Here is a 26947-nt window from a genome sequence, read left to right on the forward strand (position 1 = left end):
ACCACACCCAGCCTGGAGGAACAATTTTAAGAGATCTATTATACAGCATGGTGACTGTAGCTGATGATAATATATTGTGTTCTGAAAAATGCAGAGTGGGTAAGTGTTCTCACCACAAAAATACCATATGAGGTAATATATTTGTTATTTAGCTAAATTTATACCACAACGTCTATGTACTTCAGCATCACATTGTACAGAATAGATCCATACAATTTGAACTGTCCAAAAACCTTTTTAATTTAATTGCTGAGGAGTATTTCCTTGTATGGATAGAGTAAGCTTTGTGTCATTATTCTTGGTGAAAATACATTTGCTTTGTTTCCATTTTAGCTATTAAATAAAGCTGCTATTAACATTTGTGTTCAAACTTTTAAGTGAACATCCTTATCCACTCTCTTGGATACATTCCAAAGATAAATTGCTGGGTGATATGGTAAGTGTATATTTAACTTTTTAAGAAAATTAAAACAGTTTTCTAGAGTACTGTACCATTTACTTCTCCACTGGTAATGTATAGAAGATCCACTTTCTCCAAATCCTTGCCAATATTTGAAACTATGAGTATTTTTTTACTTTAGCCTTCTAAGAGCTGTATACTGCTGTATCATCATGTTTTCCTCTGAGACCTCTCTCCTGGTCTTGTAGATGGGGTCTTTTTCTCCCTGTGTCTTCACAGGGTCTTCCCTCTGTATGTCTGTGTCCTAATCTCTTCTTCTCATAGGGACATCAGTCATGTTGGATTAAGGCTCACTCTAATGAACTCGTTTTAACTTAACTAGCTCTCTGAAGACCTCCTTCCCCAAAATACTCATATTTTGAGATACTGGGGCTAAGTACTTCAACATATGAATATTAGAGGGACACAATTCAGCCCATAACAAGGTCTTTTTAAAATATTTTTTCAGCATTGAAGAATATTTCTGAATATTTTAAATAGATTCTAATTCAAATGACATTATTTTTTAAATGACAAGTAGCTTAATTTGGCTACAGCATGAGGCACAAGAAGGGCAGTGATAGAAGATAAGGCTTTAATTTTTTAATATTCATACCAAATGGAAATAAATAACAAATTTCATGAAGTAGAGGGAGGAAAAATAAGGATATATTATATGTGCTGAACTCTTCACACTTTATAAGGGATGTCCATTAAGCCACTCCTTAATACTGATAAATTAAAAATAGAAATATGTTTATATCCAGAGCTCATAATTTTAAAAAGTAAGAATAAAAAGGGTAGCAAAGGGAAGCCTCTGGAGAACAGATTTAGGGAGTCTTTCACTTTGTATGTACTACGTTGTCATTTGGAATTAAAATACACACATAGATGCATTATCACTGTGATCATGAAAACATACCAAAAAAAGGGCTGTGACTGCCCGGGCGCTGACGGCGGTGGCGGGGGGTGCGGTGTGGACGCCCGCGGTGCCGGCTGGGGCATCACCGTGGGCCTCGAACCCGAAATGGCTCTGCTGACCGAACACCTGCTGAAGCCGCTGCCCGCGGACAAGCAGATCGAGACTGGGCCCTTCCTCGAGGCGGTGTCCCACCTGCCGCCCTTCTTCGATTGCCTTGGGTCCCCAGTGTTTACTCCCATCAAGGCAGACATAAGCAGCAACATCACAAAAATCAAAGCTGTGTACGACACCAACCCAGCCAAGTTCCGGACCCTGCAGAACATCCTGGAGGTGGAGAAAGAAATGTATGGAGCAGAGCGGCTCAAAGTAGGGGCCACGCTGGCGCTGATGTGGCTGAAAAGAGGCCTCCGCTTCATCCAGGTCTTCCTCCAGAGCATCTGCAACGAGGAGCCGGACGAGAACCACCTCAACCTCATCCGCGTCAACGCCACCAAGGCCTACGAAATGGCCCTCATGAAGTACCACGGCTGGATCGTGCAGATCTTCCAGGCAGCACTGTACGCAGCCTCCTGTAAGTCCGACTTCCTGAAAGCGCTCTCCAAGGGGCAGAATGTGACGGAGGAGGAGTGCCTGGAAAAGATCCGCCTCTTCCTAGTCAACTACATGGCGACCATCGATGTCATCTACGAGACGTATACCCAGATGAACGCTGAGCTTAACTACAAGGTGTAAGTATGCCCACCGCTGGACACGCCCCCGACTCGTGGCCACACAGAGAAACGGCAAACCAGAATCACTGTGAATCAAGTCGGTGAGCTGCCCCTGGTCTGCATCGCCCAGAGCAGCCCAGGGTCCTGCCAGAGTCTGCAGGGGACAGCCCTCGTTTTTTAAGTCTTTTTTTGGGGGGTGGGGTCTATTCTAAAGGACCAGTAAATAATGATCTTACTTCCAAATCTCCTTGGAATTTCACGACAGCACAGACTGACTTTATACCTTCATTTCAGCGTGGTAAAAATCGATTAACACTTCTAATGAGTCAAGTCCTAGGCTTTTTTGGTTTTGTTTTGTCGCCAAAAAGGAACACGGCTCTGGGTGAATGGTGTCATCCACCTCGCTTTAAAAATAAGCACATGATGGCCGGGCGCCGTGGCTCACGCCTGTAATCCCAGCACTCTGGGAGGCCGAGGTGGGCGGACCACCTGAGGTCGGGAGTTTTAGGCCAGACTGGCTAACATGGTGAAACCCCATCTCTACTAAAAATATAAAAAATTAGCCAGGCGTGGTGGTGCGCACCGGTAGTTCCAGCTACTCAGGAGGCTGAGGCAGGAGAATCGCTTGAACCCGGGGGGTGGAGGTTGCAGTGAGCTGAGATGGCACCATTGCACTCCAGCCTGGGCAACAAGAGCAAAACTCCGTCTCAAAAAAAAAAAAAAAGCGGCAGGTGGATCACTTGAGGTCAGGGTTTGAGATCAGGCTGACCAACATGGTGAAACCCTGTCTCCACTAAAAATAAAAAATTAGCCAGGCACGGTAGCGCATGCCTGTAATCCCATCTTCTTGGGAGGCTGAGGCAGGAGAATCACTAAAACCCGGGAGGTGGAGGTTACAGTAGCCGAGATCGCGCCACTGCATCCCAGCCTGGGCAACAAGAGCGAAACTCCGGCTCAAAAAAAAAAGCACGTGACCTTATGAGACTCTCGCTGTATTGCTATTTTGGTTATTTTAAGGACTATAAAGAGCTTGATTTGAAATTATGCAGGGCCCCTATGTGGGATTTTTTTAAAAAGCAAACTGGTGTGTATTCTCATGTGTTTTGCACAGCCCAGCCTCACAGCAATATTATAAACCCTGCTCTTTCTGTCTCGCTAAACAGGGTTTTTTGTTTGTTTTCGTTTTTCTGGTTGTTTTTGTTATTATTGTTTTACAGCTGAAACCAACCAGCAAGTCTTTGATGACCAAGAGGCATTTCTTTCAAAGCTATAGGGCACAAACAATTGACCATAGAAGACTCTGTTTGCATTCTTCTGCAGAATTATTTCCTTCAGGGACAGATTTTCCAACCTAAGAAACTACCTACTGTGTGTATTCTCTTGATGGGGAGAGATGAACCCTTCAGCTGCTAAGATCCAAGAAAATGCCTCACTGCCTTAACCTTAACTGTTCTTCCTGGCGCTAAAAAGAGCTGTATTTTTTAAAGTGCTGGGGCAAACAAAGCAACCCCAAAAGAGTTGATGTGTGTTTTAAAAGAAAAAACCCAATGAGGAGCAACTGGAGATTTTTATGCAGAAACTAAATAATCCTTAATAAATAAATCTCTATTTTGGAATCACAAAAAAAAAAAAAAGAAAACATACCAAAAAAAGTAGAATCAGGCCATTGTAAGTATTGAATGACCCTATGATCCACTTTATTCTTTAGTTATAAAGCTCCACAATGCAAGCTCTCATTGCTTGATGGTACTACCTAGGCTTGCAGTTGGCAATTAAGGGTCCAGAACAGCAATTACTTACAGGGAGGTGAACCAGAAAGGATGGAATGAGAGAGGCTAATGTGTTATGGAAATGGGGTAGAGGCTAAGAAACATCTCAGTGAGAAATCCTGCCTCAAATGCCTCTGGTCTCTAATTTTTCTGTAGTTCTTGTGCAGGAAATCACAAGATGTCCAGCAACTTGATAAGCCTGGCTTAGTCATCAACTTTCACTTCTGCTCCTGAAGGCATCTCCACAATTAGAGAACATAGAAAAATCCTCAGGTAGAAAAGAAATCATATTTAAAAGACACTGTAAACGCATAGTGTTTTGTTTTGTTTTGTGACGGAGTCTCACTCTATTGCCCAGGCTGGAGTGCAGTGGCGTGATCTCAGCTCACTGCAACCTCCACCTCCCAGGTTCCAGCAATTCTCCTGTCTCAGCCTCCCGAGTAGCTGGGACTGTAGGTGCACACCACCATGCCAGCTAATTTTTGTATTCTTAGTAGAGACGGGGTTTCACCATATTGGTCAGGCTGGTCTCGAACTCCTGACCTCAGGTGATCCACCTGCCTCGGGTTCCCAAAGTGCTGGGATTACAGGCATGAGCCACCACGCGCAACCGTAAACACATATTTATAGCAGCGCAATTTGCAATTGCAAAAATATGGAACCAGCCTAAATGCTCATCAACCAATGAGTGGATGAAGAAAAAGAAACAACATAATGGCATTCGCAGCAACCTGGTTGGATTTGGAGACCATCATCCTAAGTGAAGTAACTCAGGAATGAAAAACCAAACATTGTATGTTCTCACTTTTAAGTGGGAGCTAAGCTATGAGGGCGCAAAGGCATGAGAATGATATAATGGACTTGGGGGACTTGAGGGGATGGGCGGGAGGGAAGTGAGGGATAAAAGACTACATATTGGATACAGTATACACTGCTTGGGTGATGGGTGCACCAGAATCTCAGAAATCACCGCTAAAGAACTTATTCATGTAACCAAACACCACCTGTTCCCTCAAAACTATTTAAATAACAATAATTTCATTAAAGAAAAAGGAAAAACAAGAAAAATCCTCAGGCATCACTCAGTCCAAGGAAGGCTGTCCCCATTCAGCACCAGACAACTCTCTACCTCTGGACAAAAGAATGGAGGAAAGGTAAGGATATATACCAAAAACTGTCTGATTTCCAGTTATAACTTTTGCTCTAGTTTTATATCCCTGTGCTTATACCTTGGAGTGCTACATGCAGTGGGTGATGGTGCCTCCCTCAGGAAAAGGCAGGAGATATAAGCCCTCCTTCTGGAGGCTGAGTACTGGCAGCCTAAACTATGGCAGTTCCAAACGGAGTCAAGCGGACCTTTCTCTCTTCAGATCCATCTCCCTGTATCACTCCTTTTATTCCAACCATTCAAATCTGCTTTCATGGAAAGAAGCTGCCTCTTACATTCATTTAAGGACTAGGATAACATACAGGTATTGCTTCCCAGAGCTGAACTGCTGTACACCCAGGTTTTATTGCATTACTTGCTTTTCAAAGTTATTCTCCTTTGTATATTTGGAAAGGTCCAGGAAGAAACAAATAGTCCTAACTGAAATAATTGAGGAGTGTTTCATGAGGGAACTATTTACTAAGATGGGCCGAATTAAAGGAAAGAGACAATGCCTGGGGCAGCACCCTAAGCAGCAATAGTGGAGCACTGCTTCCTCTCCTAGGTTTAAAGGGACAGGGAAGGAGGAGTTATCATTGAAATCATAGCTTTACCTGTAGCTAGCTGTAGGGGCGGGAGAGGACGACCAGGCAGGCAGAGGAGCCCTGCATCACCAACACACAGCCACATAGGCAGAGAGCCAGGAAGTGAAAATCCGAAATGACTCTCCTCCTGCTGGGATCTCCCAGTGGCTCAATTCAACCAGAAAGCAGAAGGAAAAGAATACCACTGATGAGGTAAGCATCCCTCTTCAGATGTCAAACAGAATGGAAAAAGGTGGGGAAAAAATATCCAGGGCCAATGAGATGATCCCTCAAACCTCCCTTTATTCCTGGGGTTTTCTCTATCTAAATGTTATTAAACCATTTTTTTCATCACATCTCCATCAGTTACTTTTTGTCCTGTTTGCACTTTCTTTCTCTAGTGTCACTTAATGAAATAATCTTCCATATTCATCAAAAATTCCCTGAAAATGGAATGCAATTGAAAAAGAAAAAACTTTTTGCTTATTGGTCAGAGTGTAAGTGTGGCTGCTTTAAAAAAGTCCCGTAGTAACAATGACTTCTGTAACAAAGTTTACTAGACCTGGGTTGGGCTGGAGGTTCCAGGCATCAGACACCAGAAGCCCTTCCATGTTGCTGCTCCCTAATCCCTAGAGAGGTGCCCTCATCCTTGTGATTCTGCAGGCTTCCAGTGACATCAACATTCCAGCCTGGGATGAAGAAGAAGAGGAGAGAGGGAGACCACACTTCTTCCATTAATCCAAGAGTCAGTTACACCATATCTGCTCACCTACCATTGTCTAGTGCCTAATCACAAGATGTCATGCACATCAAGGCAGGGGTTGGGGTAAATAGGATCCTTGTCATGATTTATAACTCTCAGAAATACTATGTGACAGGCCAGGCACAGTGGCTCACACCTGTAATCCCAGCACTTTGGGAGGTCAAGGCGGGTGGATCACCTGAGGTCAGGAGTTCCAGACCAGCCTGGCCAACATGGTGAAACCTTGTCTCTACTAAAAATACAAAAATTAGCCAGGCATGGTGGCAGGTGCCTGTAATCCCAGCTACTCAGGAGGCTGAGGCAGGAGAATCACTTGAACCTGGGAGGTGGAGGTTGTAGTGACCCAAGGTCACACCACTGCACCCCAGCCTGGGCAGCCGAGTGAGACTCCATCTCAGAAAAAAAAAAAAAAGGGAAATACTATGTGACTGAGGAGAGGAATGGTTAGCAGGGGACACTAGCAGTCTCTACAGACCATAATAGTCTCTCAGATTCTGTGTTCACATGACAATTTTTTGGGTTTCCCCCAAGAAATAATGATTGATAGGGCAGAAGACAGTGGAAAAGCCTCAGACAGGGCTCCAGGAGACAGAGGCTGGTATTGGCCATGCTATTCATGATGTGAACAGGAAAATCCAATGTACTCTTTAAGCCTCTTCCTGTATTAACTGAGAATATTACAAAAAGAGGCCCTAAAAGAGCACATGCTAAATGTTGAGGACACAGTAGTGAACAAATACAGGTATGACTTAGTTATGAAGGTTCAGCTTTGATAAGGAAGACAAATGTATCACACCCTAATAATACATTTACAAACTGTTCAGTACCTTGCGTGGGAGCAACAGAAGTCTTGGTTTTCCTTCCTTTTCTTTTCCTGGCCAACCAAGGCTGTGGGAGTTTGTCTCTCTAAGAGAGCTCATAGTGGATGCATCCACGCCTGATGCTTCTCTCCACCCTCAGAAGAAAATGCATCCTCTTTCCACTTAGAGGCCTCCTGATTTATTGAATCCTCTGGATGACTGAGTGATGGCTACATTTGTAAGGTAGAAAAGGGCTCCAGGATTCTCCTATCTGTTCCTAATTGGCTTTCACTCATCTCTCTTTTGTTTCCTATTTGATTTGCTTCTTATTCTCTCTCTAACTGAAGCTTGTTATAGTTAGCTTTTTTTTCAACCCCCGATCTTGACAATCAACTTGGATGTAACTTGGGAATTACTCCCCTGCTTTCCCCCTCAAACGTGTGTATTGAACGCTTGGTGGTGTTGGGGCCAAAGGGCTGGACCTAAGATTGAAACCTGAGGCAGCCCTGTTAGGTTCAAATCCACATTGTGTGAGACCAAGGAATAATTATGCATCCATTTTGTGCCCCTATGCCATCGTCTGTAAAATGGGAATATTAATAATTCTTCCCTCCTAAGCTCTTGAGAGGATTAAAGGAGACAGTAGTAGCTGGTAAACTCTCAATCAGCTGCTGTTATTTACCCGGATGAGAGCTAGTCCTCTGTCTCCAGTTGAAATCTGCATGAGCATCTCTCTTTATACTCCAAGCCTGGCGCTTTTTCTACATCCCAACATAGACTCCTCTCACACAGAAGATTTAGCCAGCAAAAGAAACTCTTCTAAAGATCTCCTGGGAAAGAGTGAAGTAGGTTTATGTTGTGCACACCCAGCACACCACTTAGTAGTCCTCCGTCTCTATTCCCACACTTCAATTTCCTCCTTCAGTGGCACTCAGACCTCACACTTACTCCTTCATTCACTATATTGCTGAGCACTTCAGCTCAAATCCACTTCCTACTCCAACATTGTGTACCAAAATGCTTCCAGATGTTCAGCAAAGCCATACTGAGTTCTCATATCAAAGGCACATCAGTGGTCAACTTCAGCTATTTGGGCACACATCAGTAATTACTCTAACACACACAGAGCTGTCCAGAAAAAGAATTCTGAATAAATGAAATTTTCTTCATCTCATTATACATGTGTGTTCTAATGCTTTTAATTGTGCTTTCATTTTTATTTCCCGTTTAACCACCAAATCTGCTACTACCATTAGGCTCCTCATTCACGCATTCATTCATTGAATAAATATTTGCGGAGAACACAGTGTGCTGAACAAGGAGCTAGACACTAGGGTTATAAAAGGTGCTTCTGACTTCAATGACTGACACACGGAGCCATTTCTAACCCACAAGGCCCAGCCATTCTTACATCTCTCCTAGCAAAATATTACATTGCTCTCATGTCCCTTAAATCATGGTCTTCTTTCTCCTCCATGGATAGACCACTCCTAGTCATGGGGGTGTCACAGCCATCTCTTTGTCTTTCTGAATTCCTGCACCTGAGGGAAAATTTCTGGCCCAGGAGAGAGTAATGCTTGGGTCCATAGCCCTAGCCAGCTGAGTGAAGGTATTTCCAGCATAGAATAGTCCCATGTCAGCAGAGGACCTCTGTTGCAATAGAGCCCAGGCTTTAGAACCGGCGAGAACTGGGTTTGAATCTAGTTTCAAGGGATCTCTACCTTTTGATTTGCTATTTATTCTCTATAAGCCAGTCTCCCTTCTCTGTAAAATGGGGACAGTAATTCACACATTGCAGAGTGGTCCTACAAATCAGAGATCATACAGATGGTGTTTAAATCTTGTTTGTGTTCCCACTAACCTTCCAGGGGCACCAGTGGAGGGTTCTGAGCATGGATCCAATCATTCCAGCCTGAAGGACAGAGCTCACACCAGTAAATAAAAACAAATGAGACTCCTCTTCTTACTTGTGACTTGAACACTCTGAATTTCTTCACCAGCGTGATGACCTTTGCCTACCTTGTAGGCCTGAGCATGCTGAGTGCCATCAGTACTGAGTGCTGCCTGTCTGTCCTGCGGCCTATCTGGTACTGCTGCTGCTGCCCAAGAAACCTGTCAACTGTCATGTGTGCCCTGCCCTGGGCCCTGTCCCTGCTGCTGAACACCCTGGAAGGGAAGTTTTGTGGCTTCTTAGTTAGTAATGGTGACTATGGTTGGTGTTGGACATTTGATTTCATCACTGCAGTGTGGCTGGTTTTTATATTTTTAAATTTTTTTTGTGGTTCTCTGTGAGTCCAGCCTGGTCCTGCTGGTCAGGATCCTCTGTGGCTCCCTGCACATCCTGCTGACCACGCTGTGTGACCATCCTGCTCACAGTGCTGCTCTTCCTTATTTGCAGCCTGCCCTTAGGCATTAAGTGGTTCCTATTATTCTGGATCCTCGTGGATTTTGATATCTTCCTTTGTCATTTGCAACCAGTTTCAGATGTCCTGTCCTCTCTTAACAGCAGTGCCAACCCCATCATTTACTTCTTCATGGGCTCCTTTAGGCAGCGTCAAAATTGGCAGAACCTGAAGCTGGTTCTCCAGAAGGCTCTGCAGGACACACCTGAGGTGGATGAAGGTGGAGGGCGGCTTCCTCAGGAAACCCTGGAGATGTCGGGAAGCAGATTGGAGCAGTGAGGAAGAACCTCTGCCCTGTCAGTCAGACAGGACTTTGAGAGCAACACTACCCTGCCAGCATTGACAGTTACCTGCTCTTCTCTCAGCCTCATGCCTCTGAAGTGTCTTAGTGATTCCTCAATGACTTTGGGTAGATTAATTTTAGCCTTGTTTTTCCTGGGTTTTTTTTTTTTTTCTTAGAAAAAGCAGTCTAAACGAAGAACATCTCCATCTTTCTCAACTTAACCAATAAATTCTTTTTTTTTTCTGGAAATGGGAAAGGAGGGAATTCATAGTAGCATTGTTAATAAAAGCATAGAAGTAATTTAGGGAATGGTGATCTGTATGTAAATGAGTTTCTTTCCTTGTGCCACCCCAAGTATTTTGTCACTGATACAGTTTAGCTATGTTCCCACCCAAATCTCATCTTGAATTATCATGTGTTGTGGGAGGGACCCAGTGGGAGGTAATTGAATCATGGGGGCAAGTCTTTCCCATGCTGTTCTCATGATAGTGAGTAAGTCTCACGAGATTTGATGGTTTTAAAAAGAGGAGTTCCCCTGTACAAGTTCTCTCTCTTTGCCCGCTGCCATCCATGTAAGACGTGACTTGCTCCTCCTTGCCTTCTGCCATGATTGTGAGGCTTCCCCAGCCACATGGAACTGTAAGTCCAATTAAGCCTTTTTCTTTTATAAATTGCCCCCATCTTGGGTATGTCTTTATGAGCAGCATGAAAATGGACTGGTCATAGTTGCAAGATCCCTCTTAAGAGGACTCTAAAGGCCAGGCACAGTGACTTATGCCTGTAGTCTCAGAACTTTGGGTGACCGAGGCAAGAGAATCTCTTGAGTCCAGGAGTTTGAGGCTTGGAGTTCAAGACTAGCTGGGCAACACAGCAAGACACCATCTCCACAAAAAATTAAAAATTAGTCAGGCACAGTGGCACATGCCTGTAGTCACAGCTACTTGAGACGCTGGGGTGGGAGGATCGCTTCAGTGCAGAAGGTCAAGGCTGCAGTGAGCCAGGATTGCACAACTACACTCCAGCCTAGGCAACAGAGCAAGACCTTGTCTCTAAAAAAAATTTAATTTAATTTTTAAAAAAGAAGGCTCATAAGGCTGGAGTGCTTTAAACAACGACCAGTGTCTGTAGTGGCCTTGAAGTGATAGGGGTTGGCAATCCTTTTGTGAAATTAGTTGGAATGAACTGTTTAATATGGCCAAGTCTTGTGCAGGCCAGCCAGGTCAGCCTAGCAGGAGAAGCCAAAAGGCAATGTCTTACCCTCCCAACATTCCTCCCCGGAATATGTCAAATCCTTCAGGGTCAGAAAACATTGGTAAAAACAACAGGGAGATAGAACAAAGAGAAGTGTGGGAGTAGGGGGAAAGAGAGAAGCAGTGGAAAGCACCCTCTTCTCTGGTGCAGCATTTTTGCCTGCAAAAGACCCAAAGTGGAATTAGGGAAGATAGTTTATCTTTAAATTAAGTTCAACATTTTATTCCTCACATAAAAATCCAACTCTAAACTTTTTTATAGGCTTGATATGGATGATGGACTGAGAGTTGGTAATTGGTTATCCAAAAACTTCACATTTAAATTCTGCATTTCACCTTGCACCTCTTTTGAAATGTGGTATCTACAATGTCTTTTTTTTTTTTTTTTTTTTAGTAGAGACATGGTTTCCATGTTGGCCAGGCTGGTCTTGAACTCCTGACCTCAGGTGATCTGCCCGCCTCGGCCTCCCAAAGTGCTAGGATTACAGGTGTGAGTCACCCCACCCAGCCTAGTGTCTTGATATTTCAATTAAAACTTCTGTTTCAACATCCAGCTACACATATGAGAGAATAATGAATATCAATTTCAGAAGCTCTGAAGAGATCAGTGAGAGGAGAGATGCAAGTTTGAGCCTCTAGATATAGCTGTAAAATTGTATTTATTTATTTTAAAGACCAATTGGAAGAAAATATGACAAAATTTAATGCTTCATTTTACAGATGTGTGTATGATGCTTATTATATGATCTTATGGCCCGTGTGTCTTAGTTTACAAACTTCTCATTAACATACCCCTCATCGACATCACCCTCATTCTTGGTGACTTCAATTATCCACATAGGTAGTAGGTAGTCAACCCAACCAACTGCTCTTTCCATTGTTTCTTAACTTTTCATTCTGAATTAATTACAGGTTAACCAGAAGTTTCAAAACTAGTACAGAGAGTTCCTGTGTACCCTACACCCAACCTACACCAATGATGACAGATTGCATAAATATAGTATATTATCAGGCAATTGACACTGGTGCAATAAAATTATCTATACCATAGCTAACCATTCAGATTTCACTAGTTTTTATACACTCATTTTTTTTTTTTTTGGTTGCAGATTTCCCTTTGCGAATCATTCTATGACATTTTATCACATGTATAGATTGACATAACTACCACCACATTCAAGGTATAGGACTGTTACTTCACCACAAAAGAACTCTCTTAGGTTACACATTATAGTCACACCCGCACCCATCCCCCTTCCCAAATCCCTGGCAACCACTCACTTGCTCTTTATCTCTATAATTTTGTCATTTCAAAAATGTTATAAAATGGAATCACATAGTATATAACCTTTTTGAGTTTGACTTTCTTCGCTAAGCATAATGTTCTCAAGATCTACCCAAGTTGTTGCGGTAAGTAATTTGTTGTTGATTTTCTCTTTTTTTTTTTTTTTTTTTGGAGACAGAGTCTCTCTCTGTCGCCCAGGCTGGAGTGCAGTGGTGCGATCTCAGCTCACTGCAAGCTCCGCCTCCCAGGTTCACGCCATTCTCCTGCCTCAGCCTCCCGAGTAGCTGGGACTACAGGCACCTGCTACCACGCCTGGCTAATTTTTTGTATTTTTAGTAGAGACGAGGTTTCACCATGTTAGCCAGGATGGTCTGGATCTCCTGACCTCGTGATCCGCCCGCCTCGGCCCCCCAAAGTGCTAGGATTACAGGTGTGAGCCACCGTGCCCGGCCGTTGATTTTCTTAAATTGTTAAGTAAGATTCTATTCTCTAGGTGTATTAAAGTTTCTTTCACTATTCATAAGTGGAAAGACATTTGGATTGTTTCCACTTTGGCTATTATAAATAAAGCTGTTTGTATTAGTCTGTTTTCATACTGCTGATAAAGGCATACCTGAGACTGGGCAATTTACAAAAGGAAAAGGTATAATTGGACTCACAGTTCCACATGGCTGGGGAGGCCTCATGATCATGGCAGAAGGCAAGGAGGAGCAAGTCACATCTTATGTGAATGGCTGCAGGCAAAAAGAGAACTTGTGCAGGCAAACTCCCATTTTTTTAAAGCCATCAGATCTCATAAAGACTTATTCACTATCACAAGAAAAGCACGGGAAAGACCAGCCCCAAAATTCAATCACCTCCCACAGGGTTCCTCCTATGATATGTGGGAATTGTGGGAGTTACAATTCAAGATGAGATTTGGGTAGGGACACAGCCAACCCATATCATTCCACCCCTGGCCCCTCCCAAATCTCATGTCCTCACATTTCAAAACCAATCATGCCTTCCCAACAGTCCCCAAAAGACTTAACTCATTTCAGCATTAACTCAAAAGTCCACAGTCCAATGTCTCATCTGAGACAAGGCAAGTCCCTTTCACCTATGAGCCTGTAAAATCAAAAGCAAGTTAGTTACTTACTAGATACAATGGGGGTACAGGCACTGGGTAAATACAGCCATTTCAGATGTGAGGAATTGGCCAAAACAAAGGGGCTTACAGGCCCCATGCAAGTCTGAAATCCAGCAGGGCAGTCAAATCTTAACACTCCAAAATGATCTCCTTTGACTCCGTGTCTCAAATCCAGGTCACACTGATGCAAGAGGTGGGTTCCCATGGTCTTGGCAGCTCTGCCCCTGTGGCCTTGCAGGGTACAGCCTCCCTCCCAGCTGCTTTCATGGACTGGAGTTGAGTGTCTGCAGCTTTTCCAGACACACGGTGCAAACTGTCAGTGGATCTACCATTCTGGGGCCTGGAGGACGGTGTCCCGCTTCTCACAGCTCCACTAGGCAGTGCCCCAATAGGTACTCTGTGTCGGGGCTCTGACCCACATTTCCCTTCTGCACTGCTCCATCAGAGGTTCTCCATGACAGCCCCACCCCTACAGCAAAATTCTGTCTGGACATCCAGGCATTATCATACATCCCCTGAAATCTAGGAGGAGGTTCCCAAACACCAATTCTTGACTACTGTGCACTAGCAGGCTCAACACCATGTGGAAGCTGCCAAGGCTTGAGGCTTGCACCCTCTGAAGCCATGGCTCAAGCTCTATGTTGGCTCCTTTCAGCCATGGCTGGAGTGGCTGGTACATAAGGTACCATGTCCCTAGGGTACACACAGCACAGGGACCCTGGGCCCAGCCCACAAAACTATTTTCTCCTAGGCCTCTGGGCCTGTGATGGGAAGGGCTGCTGTGAAGACCTCTGACATGCCCTAGAGACACTTTCTTCATTGTCTTGAGGATTAACATTGGGCTCCTCGTTACTTATGCAAATTTCTGCAACTGGCTTGAATTTTTTCTCAGAAAATGGGTTTTTCTTTTCCATCACATTGTCAGGCTGCAAATTTTCCAAACTCTTATGCTCTGCTTCCCTTATAAAACTGAATGCCTTTAACAGCACCCAAGTCACCTCTTGAATGCTTTGCTGCTTAGAAATTTCTTCTTCCAGATATGCTAAATCATCTCTCTCAAGTTCAAAGTTTCACAAGTCTCTAGGGCAGGGGCAAAATGCCACCAGTCTCTTTGCTAAAACATAACAAGAGTCACCTTCGCTCCAGTTTCCAACAAGTTCCTCATCTCCATCTGTGACCATCTCAGCCTGGATCTTATTGTCCATATTGTTATCAGGCTTTTGGTCAAAGCCATTCAACAAGTCTCTAGGAAATTCCAAACATTTCCACATTTTCCTGTCTTCTTCTGAGCCCTCCAAACTGTTCCAACCTCTGCCTGTAACCCAGTTCCAAAGCTGCTTCCACATTTTCAGGTATCTTTTCAGCAACACCCCACTTTACTGGTACCAATTTACTGTATTAGTCCATTTTCATGCTGCTGATAAAGACATGCCCGAGACTGGGTAACTTGCAGAAGGAAGAGGTGTAATTGGATTCACAGCTCCACATGGCTGGGGAGGCCTCATGATCATGGCAGAAGGCAAGGAGTAGCAAGTCACATCTTACGTGGATGGCAGCAGGCAAAGAGAGAACTTGTGCAGGCAAACTCCCATTTTTTAAAGCCATCAGATCTCATGAGGCTTATTCACTATCACAAGAACAGCATGGGAAAGACCCACCCCAAAATTCAATCACCTCCCACCAGGTTCCTGCCATGATATGTGGGAATTGTGGGAGTTACAATTCAAGATGAGATTTGGGTGAGGGCACAGCCAAACCATATCACTGCTATAAACATTTGTGTGCAAATTTCTTAAGTGAACATAGTTCCATTCTCTAGGATAAATGCCCAGTATGGATTGTTAGTTAAGAATGGTGTATATAGATACCTTTTTAGGTAAATATGAAAGAGTTTCCCAAAGTAGTTATACTATTTTACTTTCTTACTGGCAATGTATGAAAAATCGAGTTTCTCCAAACCTCTGCCAACATTCGAAACTATGAACTTTTTTTAGCCATTCTAAGAGGTGTATAGTGATATCTCATAGTGGCTTCTTCTGAGGCCTCTTTCCTTGGCTTATTTATGGGAACTTCTTCTCCCCTCTTCACATGATCTTCTATGTGTCTGTGTCCTAACCTCCTCTTCTTATAAGGACATCAGTCATATTCAATCAAGGCTCACCCTAACACGCTCATTTTAACTTCATTCACTCTGTAAAAACTTTGTCTCCAAATACCGTCGTCTTCTGACATACTAGGGGTGAGAACTTCAATATATGAACATTGCAGTGACACAATTCAGCCCATTACACAATCCTTAATAAATATTTTCTGAATGAATCTATTAAAAAACTTTTCTAAATATTTTAAATAATTTTTAATTCAAATGGCATTTTTTAAATGACAAGTAGCTTGATTTAAGTGTCGCATGTGGCACAAGAAGATAATTCATAAGAGATACCATTGTGAGTATATATACCAAATGAAAATAAATAAATAACAATTTTCATGAAGTGGAAGGAGGAAGAAGAAGGATACTTACATGTGATTAACTCTTCACCTTTTAGAAGGGAAGTCAACTGATCTACTTGTTAATATTGATAAATTTAAAATAAAACTATAGAGGAGGGGCTTTGAGATGGCTTACTAGAAGCACTGGACACTAGCCTCCTCCACAGAGAAGAATCAAAATAGCGACTGGATTATCACACTTCAAACAGAGCGTCTAAGAAAGAATGCTGGAATTCAGCAAAAAAGTGACAGAAAACACTTGACGCATGAAAAGACGGCGGGGCGAGTGGGAAAGCCCAACTGGGATCAGCTGGAAGCCCTGAGCAGCTCCCCAGTGTGGGGAAAGGGTAAGAGAGAGATCTCCAGCAGTTTCACATTCCCATCATTAACTCCTGCAATCTTAGCCACCGGAGAGCCCCTCAACTGCCATGGGCCCTGAGACTGGTATAGAGAGCCCCCTGGAGTCTGTACTACAACATTGCTCCAGAAAGGGAGCTCATGCGAGGTCCCACACATTTCCTGGATACCCAGACAGCTGCAGCATGGTACCATTTTGAGAGCCCAGAACCCATAAGACTACATCCTGCCCTGGAATCCAACAGCTCCTGCATCACTATATTGCCCAGAGCCCCACCAACATCTCCCCATGTTCACCTGGAGTGCCACAGTTAAACGCAACAGACTTGCAAGGTTTTCAGCACTCTAGCCCACATGCTCTCCTGCACCCTGGGGAAAGGGTGGTGCCGCACTCAAAGGAAACTGCCCCCAGGATAAAGGGAGTCAAATCACATTTTTCCTAGAGCCTGAATCCCACCTGCCTCATGCCACTGCCACTGACGGCATCTCTGCTCCCACCAGCAGCTGGACTACCATGCACTTGCATGCACTCTGAGAATAAGCTCTCCCTGCCAGCCACTGCCACTAGGATGAAGTGTGCACTCCCCATATCCTGAGAGCCACCTGTCTGGGGTGGCTGCCACTGTCAACAACTCTACCTCTCCCCAGCAGCAGGGCTGCCATGCACTTGCCCATGCCCTGAGAAGACAGGCTTTTCCCACCCACTGCCACCACTGCCACTGCCAATCAAGCACACCATCGAGAACTTGAGGATAGCCTCACCTCTCCCACTGCAGCCTGCACCTGTGTATGCCACTGAAGGGCCTATGGACAGACCTGCTCATCTTGCCACTGCCACTCATGGCCCAAGCCCCCTGCCTGGGGGCCTTGGGATTGTTCCACCCATCAGTTGTCCAAGGCACACATGTATACCACCAAAGGATCTAATGACAACTCCAGAATGCCTGCCACCACCAGCACCCTAGCACACCATCCAGAAGCCTGGAGATTGCCCCACCTAGCCTACCACAACCTATGCCTGTGGACACCATAAAGGGGAGACTGAGGACAGGCCTGCCCCACCTGGCATGGCCCACCTCAGTGCCCAAGCACACCACCCTAAGGCCTGAGTGGTGCCCCACCTAATCTACTACCACTGATATCTATACTGTCCTCCTGGGGGCCTGAAGATGGGCCTGCCAGTCTGCCACCACTGGCACTCACCCACACCCACCTGAGAAGCTGGAAACTGGCCTGCCCAGCCTGTCACACCCACTGCTAACACCAGTGTTTGCCACCTAGGAGCCTGAGGGTTGTCCCACCCTGCCTATTGTCATCACTTATGACCACACGCTCTGCTCAGAGACCAAGGACTTGCCCACCTATCTGACCAAGTGCTGTCATCACTGGCACCCAAGAAAGCTGACTGGAAGCCCAAGAATCATCCTGCCAAGACCCTCTAACACTAGTGCCTGTGTATGCCACCCAGGGGCCCAAGAACAGGCATGCTCTGCCTGCTGCCACCACTGGGGCCTGTGGACTGGCCCACCTGGCATCCTATCCCAGAAAAACCTCATCACATCCTCCATTAACAACTGCAGCCTAAGTCACTGAAGGAATCACAGACAATATTGACAGTATTCATAGGCAAAGAAATTATATGGTGACAACACTACTGCACGTACCCATAATCAAACCTAAAGTGTTTTACTCAACCAATACAATAGATAAATCTACAGGAAAAAGTCTTGCCCTACAAATGCCAATCCAAAAAATTTTAAAAACCACTCTTACACCAGATGCACAGATATTAATGAAAGGACAAAAGAAACATGAACAAGCAAGGATATATGACACCTCCAAAGGAACACAATAATTATCCAGCAATAGATTCCAATGAAAAAGGAACTTATGAAATGCCTGGAAAAGAATTCAAAACAATTGTTTAAAAGGAGCTCAGTGAGATACACAAGAACCCAGATAAATAATACAAAAGAATTAGAAAAATAATTCAGGATATGAATGAGAAATTTACAAGAGATAGATATCATTAAAAAGGAATCAAACAGAAATCCTGAAAATGATTAATTTCAATAAATGAAATTTTAAAATAATCAAGAGCTTCAACAATAGACTATATCAAGCAGAAGAAAGAATTGTAGAATGTGAAGACAAGTCTTTCAAAATAACCCAGTCAGACTTTTTTAAACAGAACAAAGTTAAAAAAAAAAAAAAAAAGGGAAGGGAAGGGAAAGGAAGGAGGCCAAGGCAGGTGGATCACGAGGTCAGGAGATCGAGACCATCCTGGCTAACATGGTGAAACCCCGTCTCTGCTAAAAATACAAAAAATTAGCCGGGCGTGGTGGCAGGCGCCTGTAGTCCCAGCTACTCAGGAGGCTGAGGTATGAGAATGGCATGAACCCAGAAGGAGGAGCTTGCAGTGAGACGAGATTGCACCGCTGCACTCCAGCCTGGGGGACACAGCAAGACTCCGTCTCAAAAAATAAAATAAAAAATAAAAAAATGACCAAACCATATACCACCACCTACAAGGAACTCACTTTACCTGTAAAGACACAGACTAAAAATAAAGGGGTGGAAAAAAAATATTTCACATAAATGGAAACCAAAGCAAGCAGGAGTAGCTGTACTATTAGATAAAACAGACTTTAAGTCAAAAATAGTAAAATGAGACAAAGAAGGTTATTATATAATGATAAAAGGATCAACTCAGCAAGAAGATAAAATAATTCTAAATATGTATGCACCCAACACTGGAGTATATGGACATATAAAGCAAATATTATTACCTCCAATGGGAAAGATAGACTACAATACAAGAAAAGTTGGGGACTTCAACACCCCACTCTCTAATTATTAGATAGATCATCTAGACAGAAAATAAACTAAGAAACAGTGGATTTAAACTGCACTTTAGACCAAATTTATAGAACTTTTCATATGACAGCTACAGACTACACATTCTTCTCATCAGTACAAGGAACATTCCTTGGGATAGACCATATGACAGGCCACAAAACAAGTCTCAACAAATTTTTTTTAAAGTCTAAATTATATCAAGTATCTTCTCAGACCACAATGGAATAAAACTAGAAATCAATAATTCTTATTATTTGAAAATTAGACAAACATGGAAATCAACAACATGATCCTTGACAACCTTTTAGTCAAGGAAGTAATTAAGAAGGAAATTTTTAATAATCTTGAAGCAAATGAAAATCAAGACACAACATACCAAAACCTATGGGATACAGGAAAAGTAATGCTAAGAGGAAAGTCCATAGCAATAAACATCTACATCAAAAAAATTGAGAGATTTCCAACAAACAATCTAATGATACACCTCAAGTAACTAAAAAAGTGAGAACAAACAAAGCCCAAAATTAGTAGAAAGAAGAAAGATAAGAGCAGAAGTAAACAAAATAGAAACAAAAAATATATACAAAGGTTCAATGAAACAAAAAGTGGTTTTTTGGAAAGATAAACTCAGTCTGGGCAAGGTGGCTCACACTCGTAATCCCAGCACTTCAGGAGGCTGAGGTGGGTGGATCACGACCTCAGGAGTTCAAGACCAGCCTGGGCAACATAGTGAAACCCTGTCTCTACAAAAAAAAAAAAAATGCACAAATTAGCCGGGCACAGTGGTGCATGCCTGTAGTCCCAGCTACTTCGGAGGCTGAGGTGGGAGGATCTCTTGAGCCCGGGAGGTGGAGGTTGTAGTGAGCCAAGATCGCACCACTGACTCCAGCCTGGGTGACAGAAATAAAACTTTATCTCAAAAAGAAAAAAAAAAGATAAAATCAATAAACTACTAGCTATACCAACCAAACAAAGAGAGGTCCCAAATAAAATCAGAAATGAAAAAGAGATATTACAACTGATAACATCTAAATAAAAAGATCATCAGACTAGTATGAACAACTGCACACTGACAAACTGGAAAGCCTAGAGGAAATGGATAATTTTCTAAACACATACAACTTACCAAGGTTGAATCAGGAAGAAATAAAAAACCTCAACAGGCCAATAATGAGTAAGTAACAAGATTCAATGAGTGATAAAAAGTCTCTCAACAAAGAAAAGCCCCAAGGCTGAATGGTTTCACTGCCGAATTCTACCAAACTTACAATGAAGAACTAACACCAATTCTTCTCAAATTATTTCAAAAAATGAAAAAGGGGAGGCAGGGCAAAATGGCAGAATAGAAGGCTCCACCCATCATTCCCCCCACAAGGACACCAATTTAACAACCATCTACACACACACATACACACACACACAAAACCTTCTTAAGAACCGTAAATTAGGTGAGCCCTCATAGTGCCTGGTATTAACTTGGTATCACTGAAAGGCTCTGAAGAGGTAGAAAAAACAGTCTTGAATTGCTGACACCCCCTCTCTCCCACAGCCCAGCAGCAGCTGCATGGTTTGTGGACTATCGGGTGCTGGGGGAGGGAGAACACAGCAATTATGAGCCATTGAACTCAGTACCGTCCTGTTAGAGCAGAAAGGAAAACCAGACCAAACTGAGATGATGCTCACCCACAGAGAGATTTTAAACCAGGACCAGCCACAGAGGAATCACAGGCCCAATGGTTGGAACTTGAGTTCCTGCAAATCTTGCCACCTACACTGCTCTGTTTCTTTAAGTAAATATGAAAGGCAGTCAAGGCCATAAGGACTGTGTGATGGTTAACACTGAGTGTCAACTTGATTGGATAGAAGGATGCAAAGTATTGATCCTGGGTGTGTCTGTGAGGGTGTTGTCAAAGGAGATTAACATTTGAGTCAGTGGACTGGGAAAGGCACACCCACCCTCAATCTGGGTGGGCACAATCTAATGGGCTGCCAGCATGGCCAGAATAAAAGCAGGCAGACGAACATGGAAGGACTAGACTGACTTAGTCTTCTGGCCTACATCTTTCTCCCGTGCTGGATGCTTCCTGCCCTCGAACATCAGGCTCCATGTTCTTCAGCTTTGAGACTCTTGGACCTTCCACCACAGACTGAAGGCTACACTGTTGGCTTCCCTACTTTTGAGGATTTGGGACTCAGAATGGCTTCTTTGCTCCTCATTTTGCGACGGGCCTGTTGTGAGACCTCACTTTGTGATAGTATGAGTCAATAATCTTAAGAAACTCCCCTTTATGTATACATCTATCTTATTAGTACTGTCCTTCTAGAAAACCCTAACTAGGATGGGTGAGTGCGGGGCGGGCGTGGGGAAGGACCGGGCTCCCCTCGCATATGGTTGGAGAGAGGTGAAACGCGCCCAGGCGGCGCGCGCGGAATCAGTTGAGTCTCTTCGGTTCCCGGCTCTTTCTCCTGCGGTGGGTATTTGTCCGGCTGCTGGGCGACCTTTCCCGCGAAGGAGGTTGTGCCTTCATTCGGTCGCGCCCCGGGCTGGGGAGGCACCTCCCTGGTGCGCAGGAACCGCAGGGGCGGGTAGGAGCCTGGCTCTGCCTGAGCTCCGGAGGGAGCAGAGCTGGCACCGCGCAAGGGCCCCTGCCTCCCGGGAGACTGGGATTTCTGGCCTCCTCACCTCGGGACCGCTGACTGTGGAGTGTCAAAGACGGAACAGGGTTTAGTGATCTTGTCCAACCCCCTCCCCGCTTTTCACAGACTGGGGAAATGGACGCCTGGAGAACGGAAATCCAGTTATCAAAATTGACTCCAGAAGAGAGAACCTAACAGAACAATAACAATGGAAGAAATTGGGAATATTATCAAAAAGCTATCATTCTGTTAAACTCCAGGCTTGGATGGTGTTACAGGTTTAAAAAAAAAAAAAGAAAAAGTCCTTCATGAAAAAAGAAGAACTTAAGCAACATGATGGATTCAGAAGCTCATGGAAAGAGACCACCAATACTAACATCTTCGAAACAAGATATGTCACCTCATATTACAGATTTAGTGAAATGAAGCATTACTTGTGTGGCTGCTGTGCAGCCTTCAACAACGTCGCAATCACATTTCCCATTCAGAAGGTCCTCTTTCCACAACAGCTGTATGGCATCAAAACGGGGGATGCAATACTTCAGTTGAGAACGGATGGATTTCGAAACTTGTATCGGGGAATCTTTCCCCGATTGATGCAGAAGACAACTACACTTGCACTTACGTTTGGTCTGTATGAGGATTTATCCTACCTTCTCCACAAGCATGTCAGTGCTCCAGAGTTTGCAACCTGTGGCGTGGCAGCAGTGCTTGCAGGGACAACGGAAGCAATTTTCACTTCAGACATTGCTTCAAGACCACAAGCACCATGACAAATTTGCCAACATTTATCAGGCTTTCAAGGCACTGAAATGTCATGGAATTGGAGAGTTTTATCGAGGTTTGGTGCCCATTCTTTTCCAGAATGGACTCAGCAATGTCTTTTTTTTTTCGGCCTTCGAGGTCACGTTAAGGAGCATCTGCCTACCGCGACGACTCACAATTCTCATTTGGTCAATGATTTTATCGGTGGAGGTCTATTGGGTGCCATGTTGGGATTCCTGTTTTTTCCAATTAATGTTGTAAAAACTCGCATACAGTCTCAGATTGGTGGGGAATTTCAGTCTTTCCCCAAGGTTTTCCAAAAAATCTGGCTGGAACGGGACAGAAAACTGATAAATCTTTTCAGAGGTTCTCATCTGAATTACCATCTGTCCCTTATCTCTTGGGGCATAATCAATGCAAAGGTTATATGAAAAAAAACATCAGTTAAGTGCCACTTATCAACTGAATAGACCTTCTAAGAAGAATGCAGTTTGGCCTCTTCCTTAATTGGCCAAATACAAGTTGGTGTCATAACTCCAGGCCACAGTGAGTTATGGGCAAAGCTGTTTTCCTTAAGCATCAACAAAATAGAATAAAAGGTTCCAATAGGAAAATATAAGGGTTTTTTTGTGTTTTGTTTTGTTTTTTATCATTACCTAAGATACTTAGGCTAATTGCCTGGTAAATAGCTGTCCATCTGATGGCCTTTGACAGGGAACCTAATCCCCAAGATAAGATTCTTTTTCTCAAACCAGTCTTGAAATCTTCTGCATTGAAACATAAACGGCTGTGACTGGCCAGAGAGAAGGTCCTCAGGGGCCAGGGGCTCCTCAGTCTTCCTTTGTTACTCCATTGCTTGCTTCTCTGCCCCCAGGGGCAGCTGCAGAGGGTAGTCTTCATTAAGCTCAAGCATATGACAAAGAGGCAGAACAGAGAAGAAAAACAGCTTATTAGGTATAGGCTTTTCTTGATAAATTGCTTGTATTAGTTTTGAAACTAAGCACCTATTGGATAGTCGTTATCCTATTTCTATTCAGATACGGTAGATCAAGGAGCTATGAAAGTTCTCATTTTGCTCTGTGGGTTTGAAAGTTTTCTGTTTGATTCTGACTGTGGCCTTCAACCCTTCCAAAATATCCTTATGTTAATTGCACTTATTTCATTGTCAAAAGATGAAGGGACTTAAATTTTGTAATAGGTGTTCCAACAAGTTTTCATATTAATTGTGTATAGATAAAATTCTGTTTAGCTTGGTTTCTTTGAATTATTGGTGCCATCTCAGCAAAGGACTGTGGTTATTTTTCCCCTTGAGTAGGAGTTGGTCATATTCAAGCATCCTGTTCTCTTAAAACTCTCCTTTTAAAAAATAAACACTTCCATAACATTTTGTTTCAGAAGTTTATTAATGCAATCCCACTTCCCCCCACCCTGGGTTTCTAAATATTGCAGAGGGGGGAAAAGGGCTCAGGATAGTTTTCACCGCACAGTGTTGGCTGTCTTTTATTATACTCTTGGAAATAGAGACTCTATTAGAGTTTTGACATTTTGGGAACCCAGTTTTACCCTTGTGTCAGTAAAACAATAAGATAATTTGAGAGCATATGATCTAAATAAAGACATTTCAAGGGGTAGTTTGAATTCTAACAGTAGGTAATAGCCAAATAGCATTCTCATCCCTCAACAGATGAAAACTTCTTTGTCAAAGGAATTGGAAAATGTGAAAATATTTTTTTCAGATAAAGCAAAATGACTCATGTGCCACTTCTAATTGACTAATGAAACGTAAGAGACAGACTGAAAAAGTGGATTATGAATCTTAAAACCCTTTCTGTAAATATTATGTAGTTAAAGATTGACTTCCAGCATCTGACATGATGGTAGGTTTCTTGTTAATCAGTTTTTCTTCTTTCTGGGTAATTGCATGTGAATATGTGCACATACTGACCAAAATAAAATCAGGGCCTCAACTTGGTAGTTTACTTAAAGTTTCTGGGCAAATAGTCCGTAAAAGCTGTTTACCTCTAAATGCTGTATGGCTGGTTAAATACAGTGAACATCCTTCTTCCAGCTATAAAGAATGAAGCATATTAAGTATTAGCCAGGCAGTAATGAACTTAATAGCCATACAGCAGCTCTGTCTGACAATGCTGTGCTGGATATTGCAGTTTACTTTCAAGGTGCAGATGTAAGGATTTGAAAATAATAATAATTTGGCACCAAATAAATATGAAATAAATATGAATAGCATCCTTTGGCCTATTAAATAGAGTCAGGATTTGAAGGGAGTTGAGTTTGAGAAATGAATGAATAAAAGCACCTTGGTGCCTGATCCCCTCATTCATGTGTGCACTTCACAGGTGTGTCCAGCTACTCAGCACAGGGCATGTGGGTTAGCCTGGGGTTATGCCTTCGCCCTGGGAATAAACACCACTGGGCCTTTGATTTTGTTGGGCTTCCTTTTTGTCTTTACACTCCATACAGGTGGTAGAAATCTGAAGCACTTTTGTGAAATATAAGCTAAGTGAGAATTCTAAGGAAAATGCTTTGGTTTCTGCTGTCTCAAATAAGTGGCATTTAAAAACAATTATTAATAAATATTTTTAGGCTGGGCGCGGTGGCTCACATCTGTAATCCCAGAACTTTGGGAGGCCGAGGCGGGCGGATCACAAGGTCAGGAGATCAAGACCATCCTGGCTAACACGGTGAAACCCTGTCTCCACTAAAAATACAAAAATTTAGCCGGGCGTGGTGGCGGGTGCCTGTAGTCCCAGCTACTCAGGAGGCTGAGGCAGGAGAATGGCGTGAACCCAGGAGGCAGAGCTTGCAGTGAGCTGAGATCATGCCACTGCACTCCAGCCTGGGCAACAGAGCAAGACTCCATCTCAAAAAATAAATAAATAAATATTTTTAAAGGTTTCAACTTAATTTTTTTAAATTTCTTTGTCACTTTTTACAGCTTTTGAAGACCAGACTGCAAATATATTACCAGGGATGGTTTTGTGTTGTCCTACAGACTTCTTAAATTTGACAAAAATTCAGCTGAACTTGTAACCAACAGCTTTGTCTGAACTTGAAGTCAAAATGTGTTGTTAATAAGAGATTCTAGCTATTGCTTTTACCTTCAGTGTGAACCAGTGTGGTAATAATTTTGAAAAAGCAGGCTGGACACAGTGGCTCATGCCTGTAATCCCAGAATTTTGGGAGGCCGAGACGGGCACATCATTTGAGGTCAGGAGTTCAAGACCAGCCTGGCCAACATGGTGAAACCCCATCTCTATTATATAAGAAATTAGCAGGGCATGGTGGCACATGCCTGTGATCCCAGCTACTGAGGAGGCTGAGGCAGGAGAATCACTTGAACCCAGAAGGCGGAAGTTGCAGTGAGCCGAGACAGTGCCACCGTACTCTAGCCTGGGCGACAGAGCAAGACTCCATCTCAAAAAAAAAAAAAAAAAAAAACTTGAAAAGGCAAACATGATTGAATATCTGAAAAGCTTTAAAAGTGCCCTTTCTGTTACATATGTGGCACAAATGGCTCATGAGAGCAGGACATTTATGGTCTTGTGTCCTATACTTCATGTCTGATGCCATCAGAAATGTTATGGATTCTGGATTTAACACACTTAGAGTGATATGATCCCTCAGGACTGCACCACAGAGTAAACACAACCTTTATATGGTGGCGAATATGTGTGTCTTTCTTGTTTCATTTGTGGTTGGGGACAAAATCGATGTTTTTGTCTAAATAGTCAATATTCATCTTAACATGTTTGGCTGTGTAATCACCGGCTATATTGTGAACTGTGCAATAAAACAGAAACATGTGTGTATATAATTACCTTTGGATACCTGAAATTCCCAAGCCCAGTTACAATGTAATACTCAGTATAAGGCTGTGCAAACATGTAAGGAAATAATGGTGGTCGATGGGATATATGAAATAGGATCTAGAGGGCTTTGAGTGAAGACAATCATGTTGAACTAACACTGGTTCAGTGTAGATGAAGTAGAGTGAGGGGTATGCAGTCATAATATGAAGGGAGAACAGGAGATTACATTTGAAGAAAGGGTAAGCACTCAGACTTGGTTTCTTTTAAATTAAAATATTTCTTTTATCATGTGCAAATGCATATCAAAGACTTGAACAGGCATTCTCTTGAAATTTGAGGATTTTTAGTTTTTAATGCTGTCTTTGTTTAATATTAAATACATGTTGCCTAGTGGCTCCCAAATTTTGTGGGAGTCTCTAAATGTTTCCTCTTAAAGGTTCATTATTAAAAGTGGTTAAGCACACACTGCTATTTTTGTTTGATAGTTTGAGTTTTATGACCATATGAGTTTAAATGAAATCTGTTA

The 26947-nt window shown here is 43.1% G+C and overlaps 3 pseudogenes across 3 annotated transcripts; all 3 read left to right on the forward strand.

Moving 5' to 3' along the window:
- GLTPP1 (glycolipid transfer protein pseudogene 1) lies at window positions 1371–3690 on the forward strand (annotated as a pseudogene).
- Window positions 9136–9951, forward strand: MRGPRX13P (MAS related GPR family member X13, pseudogene; annotated as a pseudogene).
- SLC25A51P4 (SLC25A51 pseudogene 4) lies at window positions 21605–26045 on the forward strand (annotated as a pseudogene). 3 transcript variants are annotated; one of them, NR_026564.1, is made up of 3 exons: window positions 21605–21660; window positions 21953–23137; window positions 25548–26045. The product of NR_026564.1 is annotated as an SLC25A51 pseudogene 4, transcript variant 3 (transcript). The 3 variants fall into 3 exon arrangements; NR_026541.1 differs by lacking the exon at window positions 25548–26045 and having other exon boundaries at window positions 21953–23975; NR_026563.1 differs by lacking the exon at window positions 21605–21660 and having other exon boundaries at window positions 21752–23137.
- Window positions 26046–26947: the final 902 nt, after the last annotated feature.

This window comes from Homo sapiens, chromosome 11 (genome assembly GCF_000001405.40).
Source record: "Homo sapiens chromosome 11, GRCh38.p14 Primary Assembly".
NCBI lineage: Eukaryota > Metazoa > Chordata > Mammalia > Primates > Hominidae > Homo > Homo sapiens.